General features: G+C 43.0%; 1 protein-coding gene across 11 annotated transcripts in view, besides 1 other annotated feature; it reads right to left on the reverse strand.

Annotated features, from left to right (window-relative positions):
• Positions 820 to 939: a silencer, noted in NCBI's record as "silent region_2284". NCBI's record gives its function as "represses an Ori minimal core promoter by ATAC-STARR-seq in GM12878 lymphoblastoid cells {active_cell/tissue: GM12878}" and the evidence as "EXISTENCE:reporter gene assay evidence [ECO:0000049][PMID:35858748]".
• The window catches only part of EPC1 (enhancer of polycomb 1), a 111019-nt gene continuing 106433 nt past the window's right edge, over positions 11833 to 16418 (reverse strand). For 9 of the 11 annotated variants that reach the window (NR_168508.1, NR_168511.1, NR_168510.1 and 6 more), the window contains 3 exons: positions 16108 to 16249; positions 15636 to 15999; positions 11833 to 13217 (listed from right to left, as the gene is read on the reverse strand). Coding sequence is in view for 7 of the 11 variants with exons in the window: in NM_001282391.3 (NP_001269320.1) it covers positions 13145 to 13217; positions 15636 to 15999; positions 16108 to 16249 (579 nt within the window). In the remaining 4 variants the exon portion in view is untranslated. Of the gene's footprint in view, positions 13218 to 15635; positions 16000 to 16107; positions 16250 to 16418 lie in introns of those variants that run through there. The other 2 variants (NM_001382753.1, XR_001747214.2) reach the window with 2 other exon arrangements.

The following is a 16418-nucleotide window of genomic DNA, read 5'->3' on the forward strand; positions in this document are numbered from 1 at the left end:
TGTCACCCAGGCTAGAGTGCAGTGGTGCCATCTTGGCTCACTGCAACCTCCACCTCCTGGGCTCAAGCGATTCTCCTGCCTCAGCCTCCTGAGTAGCTGGGCCCACAGTTGCATGTCACCACACTTGGCTAATTTTTTATTTTTAGTAGAGACGGGGTTTCACCTTGTTGGCCAGGCTGGTCTCCTGACCTCAGGTGATCCGCCTGCCTCGGCCTCCCAAAGTGCTGGGATTACAGGTGTGAGCCACCGCGCCCAGGTTTTTTTTTTTTTTTCTTTTAGATGGAATCCCACTCTGTTGCCCAGCCTGGTGTGCAGTGGCATGGTCTCAGCTCACTGCAACGTCCTCCTCCCAGGTTCAAGCGATTCTCCCACCTCAGCCTTCCTAGCTGGGATTACAGGCCCAAGCCACCACGCCCAGCTAATTTTGTATTTTTAGTAGAAACGGGGTTTCACCATGTTGGCCAGGCTGGTCTCGAACTCCTGACCTCAAGTGATCCTCCCACCTCGGCCTCCCAAAATGCTGGGATTACAGGCGTGAGCCACCGCACCCGGCCAGGATATGCATTTTTATCAGCGTGTCAAGTGATTCCTATGCGGGTGGTCGGAGGACCAGACTTTGAGAAACAGTGTCCAAAAGTGGCTGGCACAGCCTCAGTAAGCATTTGCCATGTGATCCATCTCTCCTTACACAAGGAAAAACTGTATCTATTGCTTAAAAACACTTTAAAGCATTCCAATCACATGGTGACGTTTCTAGAGATAGTCTATGTGTAGCCCTGTTCCCAATCTCTATCCCTCTTGATAACACAAGTGGAGGCAAAATGGTACACTCTGTTTTTGCACTTTGTCACCTAACTGGGCCTTTCATTGTCCACGATTTCTGGGCAGCTATGCGGTTTCGCTCGTTCCCAAAGATTGCCACTAGGCGGCACCAGTGACTTCCCCCATCACTAATCAAGTGGCCAAATTAGCAGGCAATTACCAAATGTTTAGCGAGAATGTAGAATGTTTTATCGGCCAGTTTACCACCTATGGTCTCAGAGATCTGGCTCTTTTTGCTTTTGATTACATTAGAATGAATTTCAGAGCCACTAACTTTGGGCCATCTCTCTATCTACATTAGAATGAATTCCAGAGCCACTAACTTTGGCCCGTCTCTCTATCATTAATATTTAAAGAGGTGTGTTTGCATGGAGATGTGGGATGTGTAGGCTTGGACCAGGCCCAGGGACTTCTGCTGGAGGGGGGTTTGGTCCAAGCTGTCCTGGGCAGAAAGGACAGCTATGAAAAATGCAGCAGACCTATAGAGGTCCAAACACAGAACTGTAGGCTTGACACTTCCCCCACCAGGTCTCTGTGATCCTTTTTACTTCCCTCTCCCCAAGCCTCTTGCTCCAAAAGAAGACAGTGAACAGTCCCAGTGTGGCGGTTCACACCTGTAATCCTAGCACTTGGGGAGGCCAGGGCAGGAGGATCGCCTGAGCCCAACAGTTCGAGACCAGTCCTGGCAACAAAAAATAAAAAAAATAAAAATCAGCCAGTCGTAATGGTGTGCACTTGTAGTCCCACCTATGCGGGAGGCTAGGGTGGGAGGATCACTCGAGCCTGGGAGTTCAAGGCTGCAGTGAGCTGTGGTTGTGTCGTGCCACTGCACTGCACTCCTGACTGGGTGACAGAGTGAGACCCATTCTTTCTCTCAAAAAAAAAAAAAAAAAAAAAAGACAGTGAACAGAAATAATACTCTTTTTTTTCTTTTTTTGAGACGGAGTTTCGCTCTTGTTGCCCAGGCTGGAGTGCAATGACACAATCTCAGCTCACCACAACCTCTGCCTCCCAGGTTCAAGCAGTTCTCCTGCCTCAGCCTCCCACGTAGCTGGGATTACAGGCATGCATGCACCACCACGCCCAGCTAATTTTGTACTTTTAGTAGAGACGGGGTTTCTCAGTGTTGGTCAGGCTGGTCTCAAACTCCCGACCTCAGGTGATCCACCCACCTCGGCCTCCCAAAATGCTGGCATTACAGGCGTGAGCCACCGCATCTAGCCAGAAATTTTTAACTGTGGTAAAATATATATGGCATAAAAGTTACATCTTTTTATATATATATATATTTATATATTTATTTATTTAGAGACACGATCTCGCTCTGTCACCAAGGCTGGAATACAGTGGTACCTTGAACTCTGGGACTCAAGTGATCCTCCTGCCCCAGCCTCCCGAGTAGCTGGGACTACAAGGCACACTACACCCAGCTAATTTTTTTATTTTTTGTACAGACAGGGTCTTGCTTTCTTGCAAGAGTCTGGTCTCAAACTCTTCAAGCAATCCTCCTGCCTCAGCCTCCCAAAGCACTCAATTACAGGCCCCAGCCACCGCATCCAGCCTTTCTTTATTTTTAACTGTGCAGTTCAGTAGTCCTAAGTATCTTCACATTGTTGTGCGACCAATGTCCGGAGTTCTTTTCATCTTGTAAAACTCCAGGCTGGAGTGCAGTGACTCGGCTCACCGCGCAACCTCTGCCTCCTGGGTTCAAGCAATTCTCCCACCTCAGTCTCCCAAGTATCTGGGAATACAAGCGCCCGCTACCGTGCCTGGCTAATTTTTTGTATTATTAGTAGAGACGGGGTTCCACCATATTGGTCAGGCTGGTCTCGAACTCCCAACCTCAGGTGATCTGCCCACTTTGGTCTCCCAAAGTGCTGGGATTACAGGTGTGAGCCACCGCGCCTGGCCTCCTCTTGTAAAACTGAATCACTATACCTATTAAATAACAATTTCCTATTTCCTCCTCCCTTGGTCCCTGGCGACCATCTTTCTGCTTTTTATTTGTATGAGTTTGAGTACTTTAGATACCTCAATATGTGGAATCATACCACATTTGTCTTTTTGTGACTTTTATTTCACTTAGCATAATGTCCTCAAGGTTCATCCATGTTGTAGCATGTGACAGGATTTCCCTGTTTTTTTGTTTTTTGTTTTCTGTTTTTTTTTTTTTTTTTTTTTTTGAGACGAAGTCTCGAACTTTCACCCAGGCTGGAGTGTAGTGGGGCGATCTCGGCTCACTGCAAGCTCCGCTTTAAAAGCTGAATAATATTCCATTGTATGTATACACCACATTTTCCTTGTTGATGGGCACTTTGTTTCTACCTTTTGGCTGTTGTGAATAATGCTGCTATGAATATAAATGTACAAATATCTCTTCAAGACCTTGCTTTCAATTCTTTGAGATGTATACTTAGAAGTGGAATCCCTAGGTCATATGGTAATTCTACTTTTTTTTTTTTTTTTTTGAGACAGAGTCTCGCTCTGTGCCCAGGCTGGAGTGCAGTGGCGAGATCTCGGCTCACTGCAAGCTCCGCCTCCCGGGTTCACGCCATTCTCCTGCCTCAGCCTCTCGAGTAGCTGGGACTACAGGCGCCCGCCACCACACGCGGCTAATTTTTTGTATTTTTAGTAGAGACGGGGTTTCACCGTGTTGGTCAGGCTGGTGTTAAACTCCTGACCTTGTGATCTGCCCGCCTTGGCCTCCCAAAATGCTGGGATTACAGGTGTGAGCCACGGTGCCCAGCCAGAAGCTTTTATTTTTATTTTTTGAGACAGGGTGCCCTCTGTTTCCTGGGCTGGAGTGCAGTGTTACGATTACCGCTGAATGCAGTCTCAACCTTCTGGGCTCAAGCAATCCTCCTCCCTCAGCCTCCTGGGTAGCTAGGATTACAGGAATATACCATTATGCCCTTTTTTTTTTTTTTTTTTTTGGTAGAGATGGTGTCTTAGTATGTTGCCCAGGCTGGTCTTGAAATCATGGCCTCAAGCAATCCTCCCACCTTGCCCTCTCAAAGTGTTGGGATTACAGGCATGAACCTCCGAGCTGGGTCAGAAGTTTTACATTTTGATGTAATCTAATTTGTGCATTTTTTCTTTTGTTGCTTATGCCTTTGGTATCGTATCAGATAAATCTGAACAAATCCAAGAAGCTTTTTCTTTCTGTTTTCTCCTAAAAGTTCTAGAGTTTTCAGTCTTACATTTTATTAATTTATTTAATTATTATAATTTTATTTTATTTTGAGAGATGGAGTCTTGCTCTGTTGCCCAGGCTGGAGTGCAGTGGCGCGATCTTGGCTCACCACAACCTACCTCTGCCTCCCGGGTTCAAGCGATTCTCCTGCCTCAGCCTCCCAAGTAGCTGGGATTACAGGCATGCGCCACCGCTCCTAGCTAATTTTGTACTTTTAGTAGAGATGAGGTTTCTCCATGTTTGTCAGGGTGGTCTCGAACTCCTGACCTCAGGTAATCTGCCTGTCTCGGCCTCCCAAAGTGCTGGGATTACAGGCGTGAGTCACCGTGCCAGCCTCATTTTATTTTTTTATTTTTATTTTTTGAGATAGAATCTCGCTCTGTTGCCCAGTCTGGAGTGCAGTGGTGCAATCTTGGCTCACTGCAACCTCCACCTCCCGGGTTCAAGCAATTGTCCTGCCTCTGCCTCCCAAGTAGCTGGGATTACAGGCGTGCGTCACCATGTCCAACTAATTTTTGTGTTTTTATTAGAGACAGGGTTTTGCCGTGTTGGCCAGGCTGAGTCTTGAACACCTAACCTCAAGTGATCCACCCGCCTGAGCCTTCCAAAGTGCTGGGATTACAGCTGTGAGCCACAACGCCCGGCCTCTATATCTGTCTTAATGCCATTACCACATTGTTTTGATTACTGTAGGTTTTAGTAAGGTTTGAAATCAGGAAGTGTGAGCCCTCCAGCATCGTTCTTTCTCAAGATTGTTTTGGCTACGCAGGATCCCTTGACATTTAGGAAGAGTTTTTCTATTTCTGCAAAAATTGCTGTAGTAATTTTGATAAGGGTTGCATTAAATCTGTAGATCATGTTGGGTAGTGTTGATATCTTAACAATAATAAGTCTTCCTATCCATGAACACAAGATGTCTTTCCATTTATTTGTGTCTTGATTTTCTTCAGCCATGTTTTGTAGTTTTCTGTGTATAAATCTTTCATCTCCTTGTTTAAGTGCATTCCTAAGTATTTTATTCTTGTTGGTGCTATTATAACTCTCTCTCTCTTTCTTTCTTTCTTTTCTTTCTTTCGCTCTGTTGCTCAGGCTGGAGTGCAGTGCCCCGATCTCAGCTCACTGCAACCTCCGCCTTCCGGGTTCAAGCAACTCTCCCTGCGTCAGCTTCCCAAGTAGCTGGGATTACAGGCACCCACCATTGCGCCTGGCCAATTTTTGTATTTTTAGCAGAGACAGAGTTTTGCCATGTTAGACAGGCTGGTCTTGAAATCCTGACCTAAGTTGATCTGCCCGCCTCAGCCTCCCAAAATGCTGGGATTACAGGTGTGAGCCACCGTGCCCGGCCTGCTGAATCTATTATTTCTAACAGGTTTGTGTGTGTGTATGTGCGTGTGTGTGTGTGTGTGTGTGTGTGTGTGTAGTCTTCAGGGTTTTCTACATATAAGATCATGTTATATGAAGAGATAATTTTACTTCTCTCTTTCTGATTTAGATGAGTTTTATTTCTGTTTCTTGCCTAATTGCTCTCACTGGGACTGCTACCTGAAAGCAGGTAGTAGTATTGTGTTGAATGGAAGTGGTGACGATGGGTATCCTTGTCTTGTTCCCGATCTTAGATGAAAACTTTTCACTCTTTTACCATTGAGTATAATGTTAGCTGTGGGGTTTTCATATGTGTCAATGAAGAGTTTTCACCAGAACACTTCCTACACTAAATATATGGAGTTTTTCCACACCAGCAACTAGTTTTCCAACCCTCTGGACACCAACTGGGTGTCCTACAATTCAATGTAGACACTGCCTCGAGTTAGTGTAAACCACATAGGCTAAGGGCTCAGTCCTACAAGACCACCCTCACTCCAGACACTAGTCACAAGTCCCAGGTTGCCACCTGTACTTCTGACTAACTGTAACTGGGTATAAATTGGGAGTTCCTATGACCATCCACTCACATTCAGGTTTGATAGTTTGCTACAATAGCTCACAAAACTCAAGAAATGGCTTTACTATTACCAGTTTATTATAAAGGATACAACTCAGAAACAGCCAAATGGAAAAGATGCATAAGACAAGAAATAGGGATGGGATGGGGTTGGTGGTGCTGAGCTTCTTTTTTTTTTTTTTGAGACGGAGTTTCACTCTTGTTGCCCAGGCTGGAGTGCAGTGGTGCAATCTCAGCTCACCGCAACCTCTGCCTCCCGGGTTCAAGTGATTCTCCTGTCTCAGCCTCCTGAGTAGCAGGGATTACAGGCACATGCCACCAAGCTCTGCTAATTTTGCATTTTTAGTAGAGATGGGGTTTCTCCATGTTGGTCAGGGTGGTCTCAAACTCCTGACCTCAGATGATCCGCCTGCCTTGGCCTCACAAAGTGCTGGGATTACAGGCATGAGCCACTGCTCCCGGCCTGGTGGTGCTGAGCTTCTATACCTTCTCTGGGCATGCCACCCTCCTAGCACCTCGATGTGTTCACCAATCCAGAAGCTCTCTGAACCCTGGTATTTAGGGAGTTTTATGGAGGTTCCATTAAGTAGGCATGATTGATGAGATCATTGGCCATTGGTAATTGAACCCAATCTCTAGCCCCTCTTCACTTCCCTCAAGTCTGGGGGTCAGACTGAAAGTTCCAGTCCCCTAGTCACATGGTTGGTTCCTCTGGTAACCAGTCCCCATCCTGGAGCTATTTAGGGGCCCACGAACAGTCACCTTATTAGCATAAACCCAGGTATTGTTGAAAGGGGCTGGCTATGAATAACAAGAGATGCTCCTCTCACCCCTATCACTGGGGAAATTCCAAGGGTTTTGAACCAGGGACAGAGAACAAATATATACATTTCTGATTATCACATCTTTATTATGCTGTGGTGGTTTCCCTCTGTTCCTAGTTTGTTGAGTGTTTTTCTCATGAAGGGTATTGAATTTTGTCCAACTCTGCATTATTTGAGAAGATTGTGTGGATTTTTTTCTATCATTCTGTTAATGATGTGTATTACATTGATTGATTTTCGTATGTTGAACCATCCTTGCGTTCTGGCAATAAATCCCACATGGTTATCTTGTATAATCCTCTTAATGTGCTCCTGAATTCTGTTTGCTGGTATTTTGTTAAAAACATTGTAAGCAGGCTGGGCGTGGTGGCTCACGTCTGTAGACCAAGGTGGGCGGATCACTTGAGGTCAGGAGTTCGAGACCAGCTTGGTCAACATGGTGAAACCCAGTCTCTACTAAAACTACAAAAATTAGCTGGGCGTGGTGGTGCGTGCCTGTAGTCCCAGCTACTCAGGAGGCTGAAGCAGGAGAATTGCTTCAGTCTGGGAGGTGGAGGCTGTAGTGAGCCGAGACTGAACCACTGGACTCCAGCCCTTGGGTGACAGAGACAGGAGGGAGCGTCTCCAGGGACTATAGGAATTTAATCAACTTGAGCAATCAGCCTGTTTTTTTTTTCCCCAAACCCTGTGTGGAATGTGGTCACCTAGTTTAACACAGCTTCTGAGAGACCCCAGCAACTTAATAGATGAACCCCAGTGAACTTTTATTACCATGCTAAACTCTGGACACACCCTGGGAGGAGCTATCACTTCCTTACCATAATACATGACCTATGTGCTGACATAATGACTCACTGCATCTGCACAACTGGGACCCCCTCCCTCTATGTGCAATGGTGCATCCTCTCCCATCTCCATCACCCATCAAACCCTCCTGTCACTTTCCCTCAGGGAGACACTGCTTGGGAGAATGTGCCCAGTGCTCTCTTTATGTGTGCCAAGTAATAAAACTCATATTGATCAAAACCCACACTCTCATGGGGACTTGTCTGTTACTCACCAGGTGGACGAACCCTGCTTTTTTTTCTGGGTAACAAATCTTACATCAATACTCACACCACGGATATTGGTCTGTAGTTTTATTTTCTTGTATTGTCTTTGCATATATATATATATATAATTTTTTTTAGATGGGATCTTGCTCTGTCACCCAGGCTGGAGTGCAGTGGCACAATCTTGGCTCACTGCAACTTTTGCCTCCTGGGTTTAAGTGATTCTCCTGCCTCAGCCTCCTGAATAGTTGGGATTACAGGTGTACACCACCATGCCTGGCTAATTTTTGTATTTTTAGTAGAGATGGGGTTTCACCATGTAGCCAGGCTGGTGTTGAACTCCTGACCTCAGATGATCCGCTCGCCATGGCCTCCCAAAGTGCTGGGATTACAGGATTACAGGCATGAGCCACTTGCCCGGCACTTTTATATATTTAACTGCAAGTTTATATAAAAAATAATAATTGTTTAGCCAGCAGTTCATTAAATTCCTGAAAACGTTGACAGCTGATTCTCATGAGCCAATGTGAGTGGGCTCCAGTATATCTTGGCTAAACTTTGCATGTCTTTTGCAATTTAGGCCACAGTGAACTGAGTCAATTTCTCATCGTAATAGAACACGAAATGAAGGGTATATGTGTCTGTAACTTATTGGCAAAAAACTGGAAAACCAGAACAAATACCAAGCTGTGAATTATTTCCCAAATGCCTATCTGAATGCATCATCTTAACAGCATAAAATTCAGTCCTGGCCAGGCGCGGTGGCTCAAGCCTGTAATCCCAGCACTTTGGGAGGCCGAGGCGGGTGGATCACAAGGTCAGGCATTCGAGACCAGCCTGGCCAACATGGTGAAACCTCACCTCTACTAAAAATACAAAAATTAGCCGGGCGTGGTGGCACTTGCCTGTAATCCCAGCTACTCAAGAGGCTGAGGCACGAGAATCGCTTGAACCTGGGAGGAGGAGGCTGCAGTGAGCCGAGATCGTGCCACTGCACTCCAGCCTGGGTGACAGAGTGAGTCTCAAAAAAAAAAAGGAAAAAAAAATTCAGTCCTTTTTAGTCGAAGGCATTGTGTACTTTATCTTTTTTTTCCCTCTAAACATTGGAGCGAGTGAATACTGTACTTGCATATAACATTTAATTCTCTCAACAATGAACAATGTAAGTACTATTTTTCTCCCCATTTTAGACACTTAAGTTTAGGGAAGGCAAGTGACTTAAATGTGAAATCACACAGCTAGCCAGCGACACAGCCAGGATTTGAACCATAGCTGCCTGGACCTCAGTGGTCATCTGATCACACCTTTACACATCTACAATAGCACATGACATAGTTAATAAATATTTGTTGAATCAATGTGCTATTTATCTATTCATTCATCTATTGCTATTTCAAACTTTAAAAAAATTGTGGAACACTTGTTGAAAGAATTCTCACATGGAACACCAACATATAACATAGACAAAAGTAGATCTGCTCTGCTGAGCATTAGTCAGGGCTGTGAAGCCCTCTGCCTACCTATCTGTAACATATTATGCATTAATATTCATGAAAAAGGCCGGGCACGGTGGCTCATGCCTGTAATCCCAGCACACTGGGAGGCCGAGGCGGCTGGATCACCTGAAGTCAGGAGTTCGAGATGAGCCTGACTAACATGGTGAAACCCCGTCTCTACTAAAAATACAAAAATTAGCCGGGTGTGGTGACACGTGCCTGTAATCCCAGCTACTCGGGAGGCTGAGGCAGGAGAATCGCTTGAACCTGGGAGGTGAAGGTTGCAGCGAGCCAAGATTGCACCACTGCACTTTTTAGCCTGGGCAACAGAGCCAAACTCCATTTTAAAAAAGAATAAAAAATTCATGGAAAAAACCTTCTAAATTTGGAGTTCAGAAAACAGTTTACATCGTTCTTCTGGAAAAAAAAAATTTATATCTAGGGCAAAAAGTCACACATTTGGGATGTTTTCTGGACTTCTCATGAAATGGACAAAGGTATAACAATGCCAGGAGTAACAGAATTAACAGGACCAATTTCTTTAGGAACACAATAGGAATGCAGGTTACCAAGGAAGCTATGCTCAAACCTGTTTCCAGGCTTCTCCACATAGGAGTGGTGGGCTAATAGCACCTTTGGTGTCTGGCAGATAATGTGTTTAAATCCTAGACCGCCAATCACTATCTGACCTTGACTGAATCCCACCTACAGGTATGGTGATAATCCTGATAATCCTAGAATCTGCTTAAAAGGGTTCTTGTGAGGATTAAATGAGATAATGACTATGCACAGGGGCTGTTAAATACTCCGTAAGTGATAGTTATTAATTAGACTAGTTGTCAAGGTTTCCTGATAACTTATCTCTCATTTTCCCTAAGTGTTTAAATTACTCTTTTGTATCAGGTCACTTTGGGCTATTACAACATTGGTGGGGAAGTATATGGAAAAATGGAAATTTTAGAGGCCAAAAACGCCAGTTTTAGCTAAATGCCCTTATTTTAAAATGGACATAAAACTAATTTGTATTTTTTCTGCATCTCACAGTTAGTCTGGTCGAATAAGAGGATAAATGCTACATGGAAGTGCTTGTCACTTATGAACCCCAACGCAAGTCTCATTTCATTGTTCCGCAAGCCATTTATGAACGTGCCTGTGGGCAGCAGGTATACTGAGCAGATTGTGGGGACCCAGGCCTTGCTCTATCTGTTGGATTTCAGAAATTTCAATCCTAATTATTCTTGAGTACATTTAAGCCAGTAATTTACCGTTTACATTTTAGTCACTCTGATCAGTCACTAGAAAAAGGCAGCTTTTTGTATTTTCTCCTTAAAGAATACAGAACAGAATAAACAAAAAGTTATGCAAATTGGAAGTTTACCCTTTAGAGACAAGGAATTCTTAAAGTCAAGAGTAAGTGGAACACCCTATCATTGGCAGCTGTTTTACAGATTTGATTCTACTCTTGGTGATCGCATCCAAATTCATGGCTTTGAACTTCAATGATGAAGATGACTCTCAAGTTTTGGTCTCCAGCTGAAACCTCTCCTCCAAACTCCATACTTTTATATATGCAACCACCTACTTGAAATCTCTATTTGGATGTCTAACAGTGTGAAGCTGAATTTTGGATCTCGCAAACCCACTCCTCCCACAGTGCTTTCCACCTGTGGTCAGTTGCTCAGGCCAAATACCCTGAAGTCATCCTAACTCTTCTCTTTCTCAAGCCCCTTACATCTAAATTCAGTAAGCAAATTTTAATAGGTCCCTTTAAAGAACAGTATCCAATCACTTCTCACTACCATCCTCGGCCTTATTATCCTTGTCTCTCACTTGCATTACTGCAACTAGCTTCCTAACTGGGCTCCTCCTGCAGTCTGTTCTGAATAACAAAGCCAGAGTGAGCCTCTTCAGACCATGTCACTCCATGGCTCCAAACTCCTTTCTCAGAGGAAAAGCTAATGTCCTTAAATCATCCCCCAGTCCACTGTGAGCTGGCTCCCTGTGGCCGACACGCCCTACCCCAGCTCCCTCCAGCCCTGGCGGTGTTATCCAGTGCAGTAGACACACTACCACCTCGGGATCTCTGTACTTCTCTCTGCCTGGAATATTTTTCCTTAACTTCCAGTCTCTGATGAAACATAACTGCCTGTGGGCCCTTCCTTGACCACCCTACTTGAAACTGCAACCTCCAGCCTTCCCGGGCACTGTTTGTTCCCTTCCTTCACTTTTCTTCCAAATACTGGTCGTAATATATTTTAAATGCATTTATTTATTTATTTTCCCCCTATGAGAGTATAAGCTCCATGAGGGCAGGAATTATTTTCCCCACAGTTGTAGGACCTAAAGTGGTCCCAGGCATTGCAGTCATTCAGTAAGTAACTGTTGAAGAAAATGAACTTAAAGTCATCACCCCCCATTTCCATCCCCTCCTTTATGGAATGATTCTAATATAAGTCACACAGAGGTTCTTGGGTTGAAAACAAAAGCAAAAGACCACTACACATTAGTTTGTCAACATGTAATGCCCTGGGTTTATTTTGTGAGAATTCTATCACAATTTTTCCAGGTGGGATTAAAAACCTTAAGGATAATGTATGCCATTGGACTGGGCATTCAGACTTCGGTACTGACAAAGCACTAGTAGTAGTCTGTTAAGTACCATTCTCTTCACAGAAGAGAGGTCAAATATTTCCAAAGGAAGGCACCCGATATTTGTGGTTCTGGCCTTGCAGCCTTCTGGAGAATCTTAAAAGGAAAAAAGCTGGCTGGCTGTTTTTAGAAACTGGAATGATGATACACGTACAGCAATTACTGCATTCTTCTCCCTTATATCCTTTTCGTAAGAACAAGTAAAGAATGAAGTCTTTTAAACAATTCGACAATAAAAAAGTACAATTTTTTTTGTGCTAAAAAAAGGGCAAGACAACATAAACTCCAGTTGTAAGGACTCCATTTGCATACTTGATTTAACACTTTTTGGTGTGGAAGGAAATGGGACTACTGGGCTGTTCGCAGAGCAGCAACATAATATTAGTGCTTTAAGTACCAGAAACCACCCACAGCTTTGTGGGCAAGTTGGGGATGGAAAGATTCAAGAGACTTCATTTTTAGCTTGTTACTTGTCCTAATGATAGTAGACCAGGAAGATCCCCATTTAATAGTACATTCCCCATTTTTAAAAAAACTGATGCCTTTTTTTTTTTTTTTTTTTTTGTAAAATTCTGTATGTATGTCACCATTTTTTTTCACATGATACACAGAAAACTCAAGGACCCAGAGGGGAACCAAGTTATGTTATACCATTTACAAAATACCAAGGAGTCCACAGCTACCTAACACATTTACTACAGCACAGGAACCAATGAAGGTACAGTGTACAAAAAACTGTAAACACGGCACAATAAATAGATAAAACAGCAGGTTCCGCACCATGCACATGATGTGATGACACTTCATCTCTATACAATCTCACATCTCACACTCTTTGTTGCAATTGATTTCCCTCCCACCCCCCACCCCCAAGTGCAAAGCATCACAAATGAACATTTCTGTATTCAAGTAACATATATACAAGGGTATTACAAATATGCAGTACTGTACAGATAATTGCTGTATTCTTAATTTACAGATGTTGATTTTTTTCCTATTAACAGTAAGAAAAGAAAAATTGAAGCATGAGAGATGAGCATTGCTGTCAAGTCCCCACAGCTGCCACAGAAACGCATGTGCTGCTTTCCATCATCCCTTGCATTCAAAATGCTACTGATGCATAGCACCTAATCAAGTCCCCAGGCTGCAGTTCCACTCGGAGGAAGCTACGTCACCTCCATCGCTACTGTGTTGTCTGCTATGTTGTTCAGTGCTGGCTTTTCTGATTCATGATTTTCCCTGTTGAAATAAAGTTCAATCAATTACTTATCTACAACATAAATATTCAGCAAATGAACATTATCTTCCCAACAAAAAGTTTATTTTTATTAACAGGAAGAAATTGGACTCTTTGGGAACAAGCTAGCAAGTAGAGGAATACGAATCTTTATAGTTTATTATCAGAAATCAGGCTAATGTTGACTATAAATAAATTCCACAGTCAACTACATTACCATCAAAATTATAGTAGTACTCAAGCAACCTAGATGTTAAAAACAAAGAATTCCCATGTTTTAGTAATTGTTGTTTCAAGTTCCTTCTCTATTAAACCTTTCAAAAGAGTTTTTAAAAAGGAAACAAACATAACTGAGATTTGTGTCAGGCTTTAAATCAGTCTAATACATGGAGCTGAGTGGCACAGCCACAGAGCTCGAGGGCCCTAGTGGTTCTACAGTCTAGACTTTTGAGTGTCCTTAGAGAAATACATTAACTTCTCTGCGTCTCAGTTTCTTCATCTTTAAAAACAAAAGGACATGTGATATGAAAATTCTATACATGGCAAATATTCCATGGTTAAACAATTCTAGAGCAGTAAAATCATGATATGAGTCAGAACTATAGCTGACAGATGAGCTATATAATTAGACCCAGAATACTATTAAGAATGGATTGGCATTAAGCAGACAATGACTGTTACTTAAATTCAGAAGCAGATGCAGATGCATGGTTTGGAAACTACAGGCCACAGTTCATTGCTACAAACCCTGCTTTCTTCTGGGCCACTCCTGGCTGAGACAGTCTACCAGTCTGGCATTTAAAGTGCTCCAGGAATCTGGAATGGCTTCTCCTGCCATTCCAATTTAAACTACTAACCTTCCTGAGCCTATACAAAAACCAGTTTACTTGTTAACTTCTAAACACTTGTATTTCCTCAACTTTGTATTTTCACTCAGCCTCAAATTTGTATTTCACTCCACCTGCCAGAAATGCTTTTTCTTTCTCCTCTTTGCCCGAAGACTAACACAGATTGGATCTGATCTTATTTTGTTAGAAGAGTCCCAGAATTCCCTGTGCAAAAAAAGATTTCTCCTTATACTGAATTACAGCCATCATCTATACAATTAATTTAACAAGTATATAATGCTTTGTGATATCTACAATTAGCATTATTGGACTTCTCACTCTTTTATGCTTGTCTGCTAACTAAACTGAAAACACCTGTCTTTTTCTTTTGTTTCTCCCACAGTACCTTGTAGACAGCAGGATTTTAACTACCCTTAATTCTACAACATAATAGAGCATAAGCAAAATTCTCAACTGTCTACTGAAATCCAAGACGGCAAGTTAGCACAAAAAATAATGGTTCAATTTAGAGTTGACCTGGCATGAATACTGTAAGTCTTTACATTAATAAGAATAGCTTAACGCCGGGCGTGGTGGCTCATGCCTGTAATTCCAGCACTTTGGGAGGCCAAGGCAGGCTGACCACCTGAGGTCAGGGGTTCAAGACTAGCATGGCCAACATGGTGAAACCCCGTCCCTGCTAAAAATGCAAAAATTAGCCAGGCATCGCGGTGTATGCCTGTAATCCCATCTACTCAGAAGGCTGAGACAGAATCACTTGAACCTGGGAGGCAGAGATTGCAGTGAGCTGAGATTGTGCCACTGCACTCCAGCCTGGGCAACAGAGCGAGACTCGGTCTCAAAAAAAAAAAAAAAAAAAAAAAAAAAAGAATAGCTTAGCATACCAGTGATGGGGCAGGGGTTTCTATCAATTCTACCTGTTTACATGAGAAGCTGTGGAAAAAAAGTCATAAAAGAAACGCTCTCAGGAGAACTCCTTCCATCCAAAGACGGAAGAAAACTGAGAGCATTATACGCTTTTTTTTTTTTTTGAGACAGAGTTTAGCTCTTGTTGCCCTGGCCAGAGTGCAATGGTGCGATCTTGGTTGCAACCTCCACCTCCCAGGTTCAAGCGATTCTCCTGCCTCAGCCTCCTGAGTAGCTGAGATTACAGGCATGCGCCACCATGCCCGGGTGATTTTGTATTTTTAGTAGAGGTGGCCTTTCACCATGTTGGATCGGCTGTTCTCGAACTCCTGACCTTAGGTGATCTGCCTGCCTCTGCCTCCCAAAGTGCTAGGATTACAGGCGTGAGCCACTGCACCTGGTATAACTATTGTTATAGTAAGAAAGGGATGTTCCAAATCATATATGCAACATTCACTATACCAGTTAGTTCAAATTCTTAATATTGAATTAAGTGTTCAAGAACTGTTTAGTTCTTGAATAAATAAGTGATCAATTCTCAACTATACATTTTCAATGTATAAAAGGAAAAGAACAAGAAACACAAAGAAATAGGTAAAGAACGATGCTGGAGGACTGAAGTTAGATCTCTTATTCCAGGTATGTTAGGCAAAAATAACTACTCACCTTGGAACTGAATCTACAGAGGATGAAGATGGGACCTTGGAAACTTGACAGTTTGCTGCAGCGGCCAGCTTTAAGGCAGATGATGGAACAGCACTTAAAGTCCTAGGTATATGTCGTGCATTTATTGGGGCAATAGAGTTTACAGTGGCAACTGATGAAGGTACAGTTAATCGAATGTTGTTCCCAATCAGAACCTGAGTTGTTGCAGAATTGGCAGCAGTTACTTGATGACTCAGTGCACTGTGGGAACTTGAAGTCTGTGTAATATTTGAAGGCTGTAACAAAGCTGAACCTGCCGTTGATGGACTTGTATGTACAAGTGCTGTTGGTGTAGTACTACTGAGGTGTAAGCCCTTGTATACTCCTAGAGAGAAAAAGAAAGAAACATCTAAACAATGTACAACTTTGCTGTTTATATTATAGATATATGTTATAAATATAACCCAAACAATTTAAATGTCTTTATTCTTACCTGAGGCTGGAAGGACGCCATTCACCCCGATTCCAAGCACCACATCATCCTTCATCTTGAATCCCATCAGTTGTTCTGATGTCACCAAAGCAGAAGCAGCAAACTGTGCACTAGCAGAATCCAAAGTCTTAGAAACAAAACCCTAAAAAGAAAATACAAAAGAAATCTAATCAGTATCACTTAGTATCAAATCAATATCAAAACTACACATGCATACCAAAATCAGTTTGAATATAAGTAAAAATGGCAAACCACTGAAATCTTTCTATTTTGGTACCTTGAGATGCAACAGTAATTATATCTCTTTTGAT

This window comes from Homo sapiens, chromosome 10 (genome assembly GCF_000001405.40).
Source record: "Homo sapiens chromosome 10, GRCh38.p14 Primary Assembly".
Classification (NCBI taxonomy): domain Eukaryota; kingdom Metazoa; phylum Chordata; class Mammalia; order Primates; family Hominidae; genus Homo; species Homo sapiens.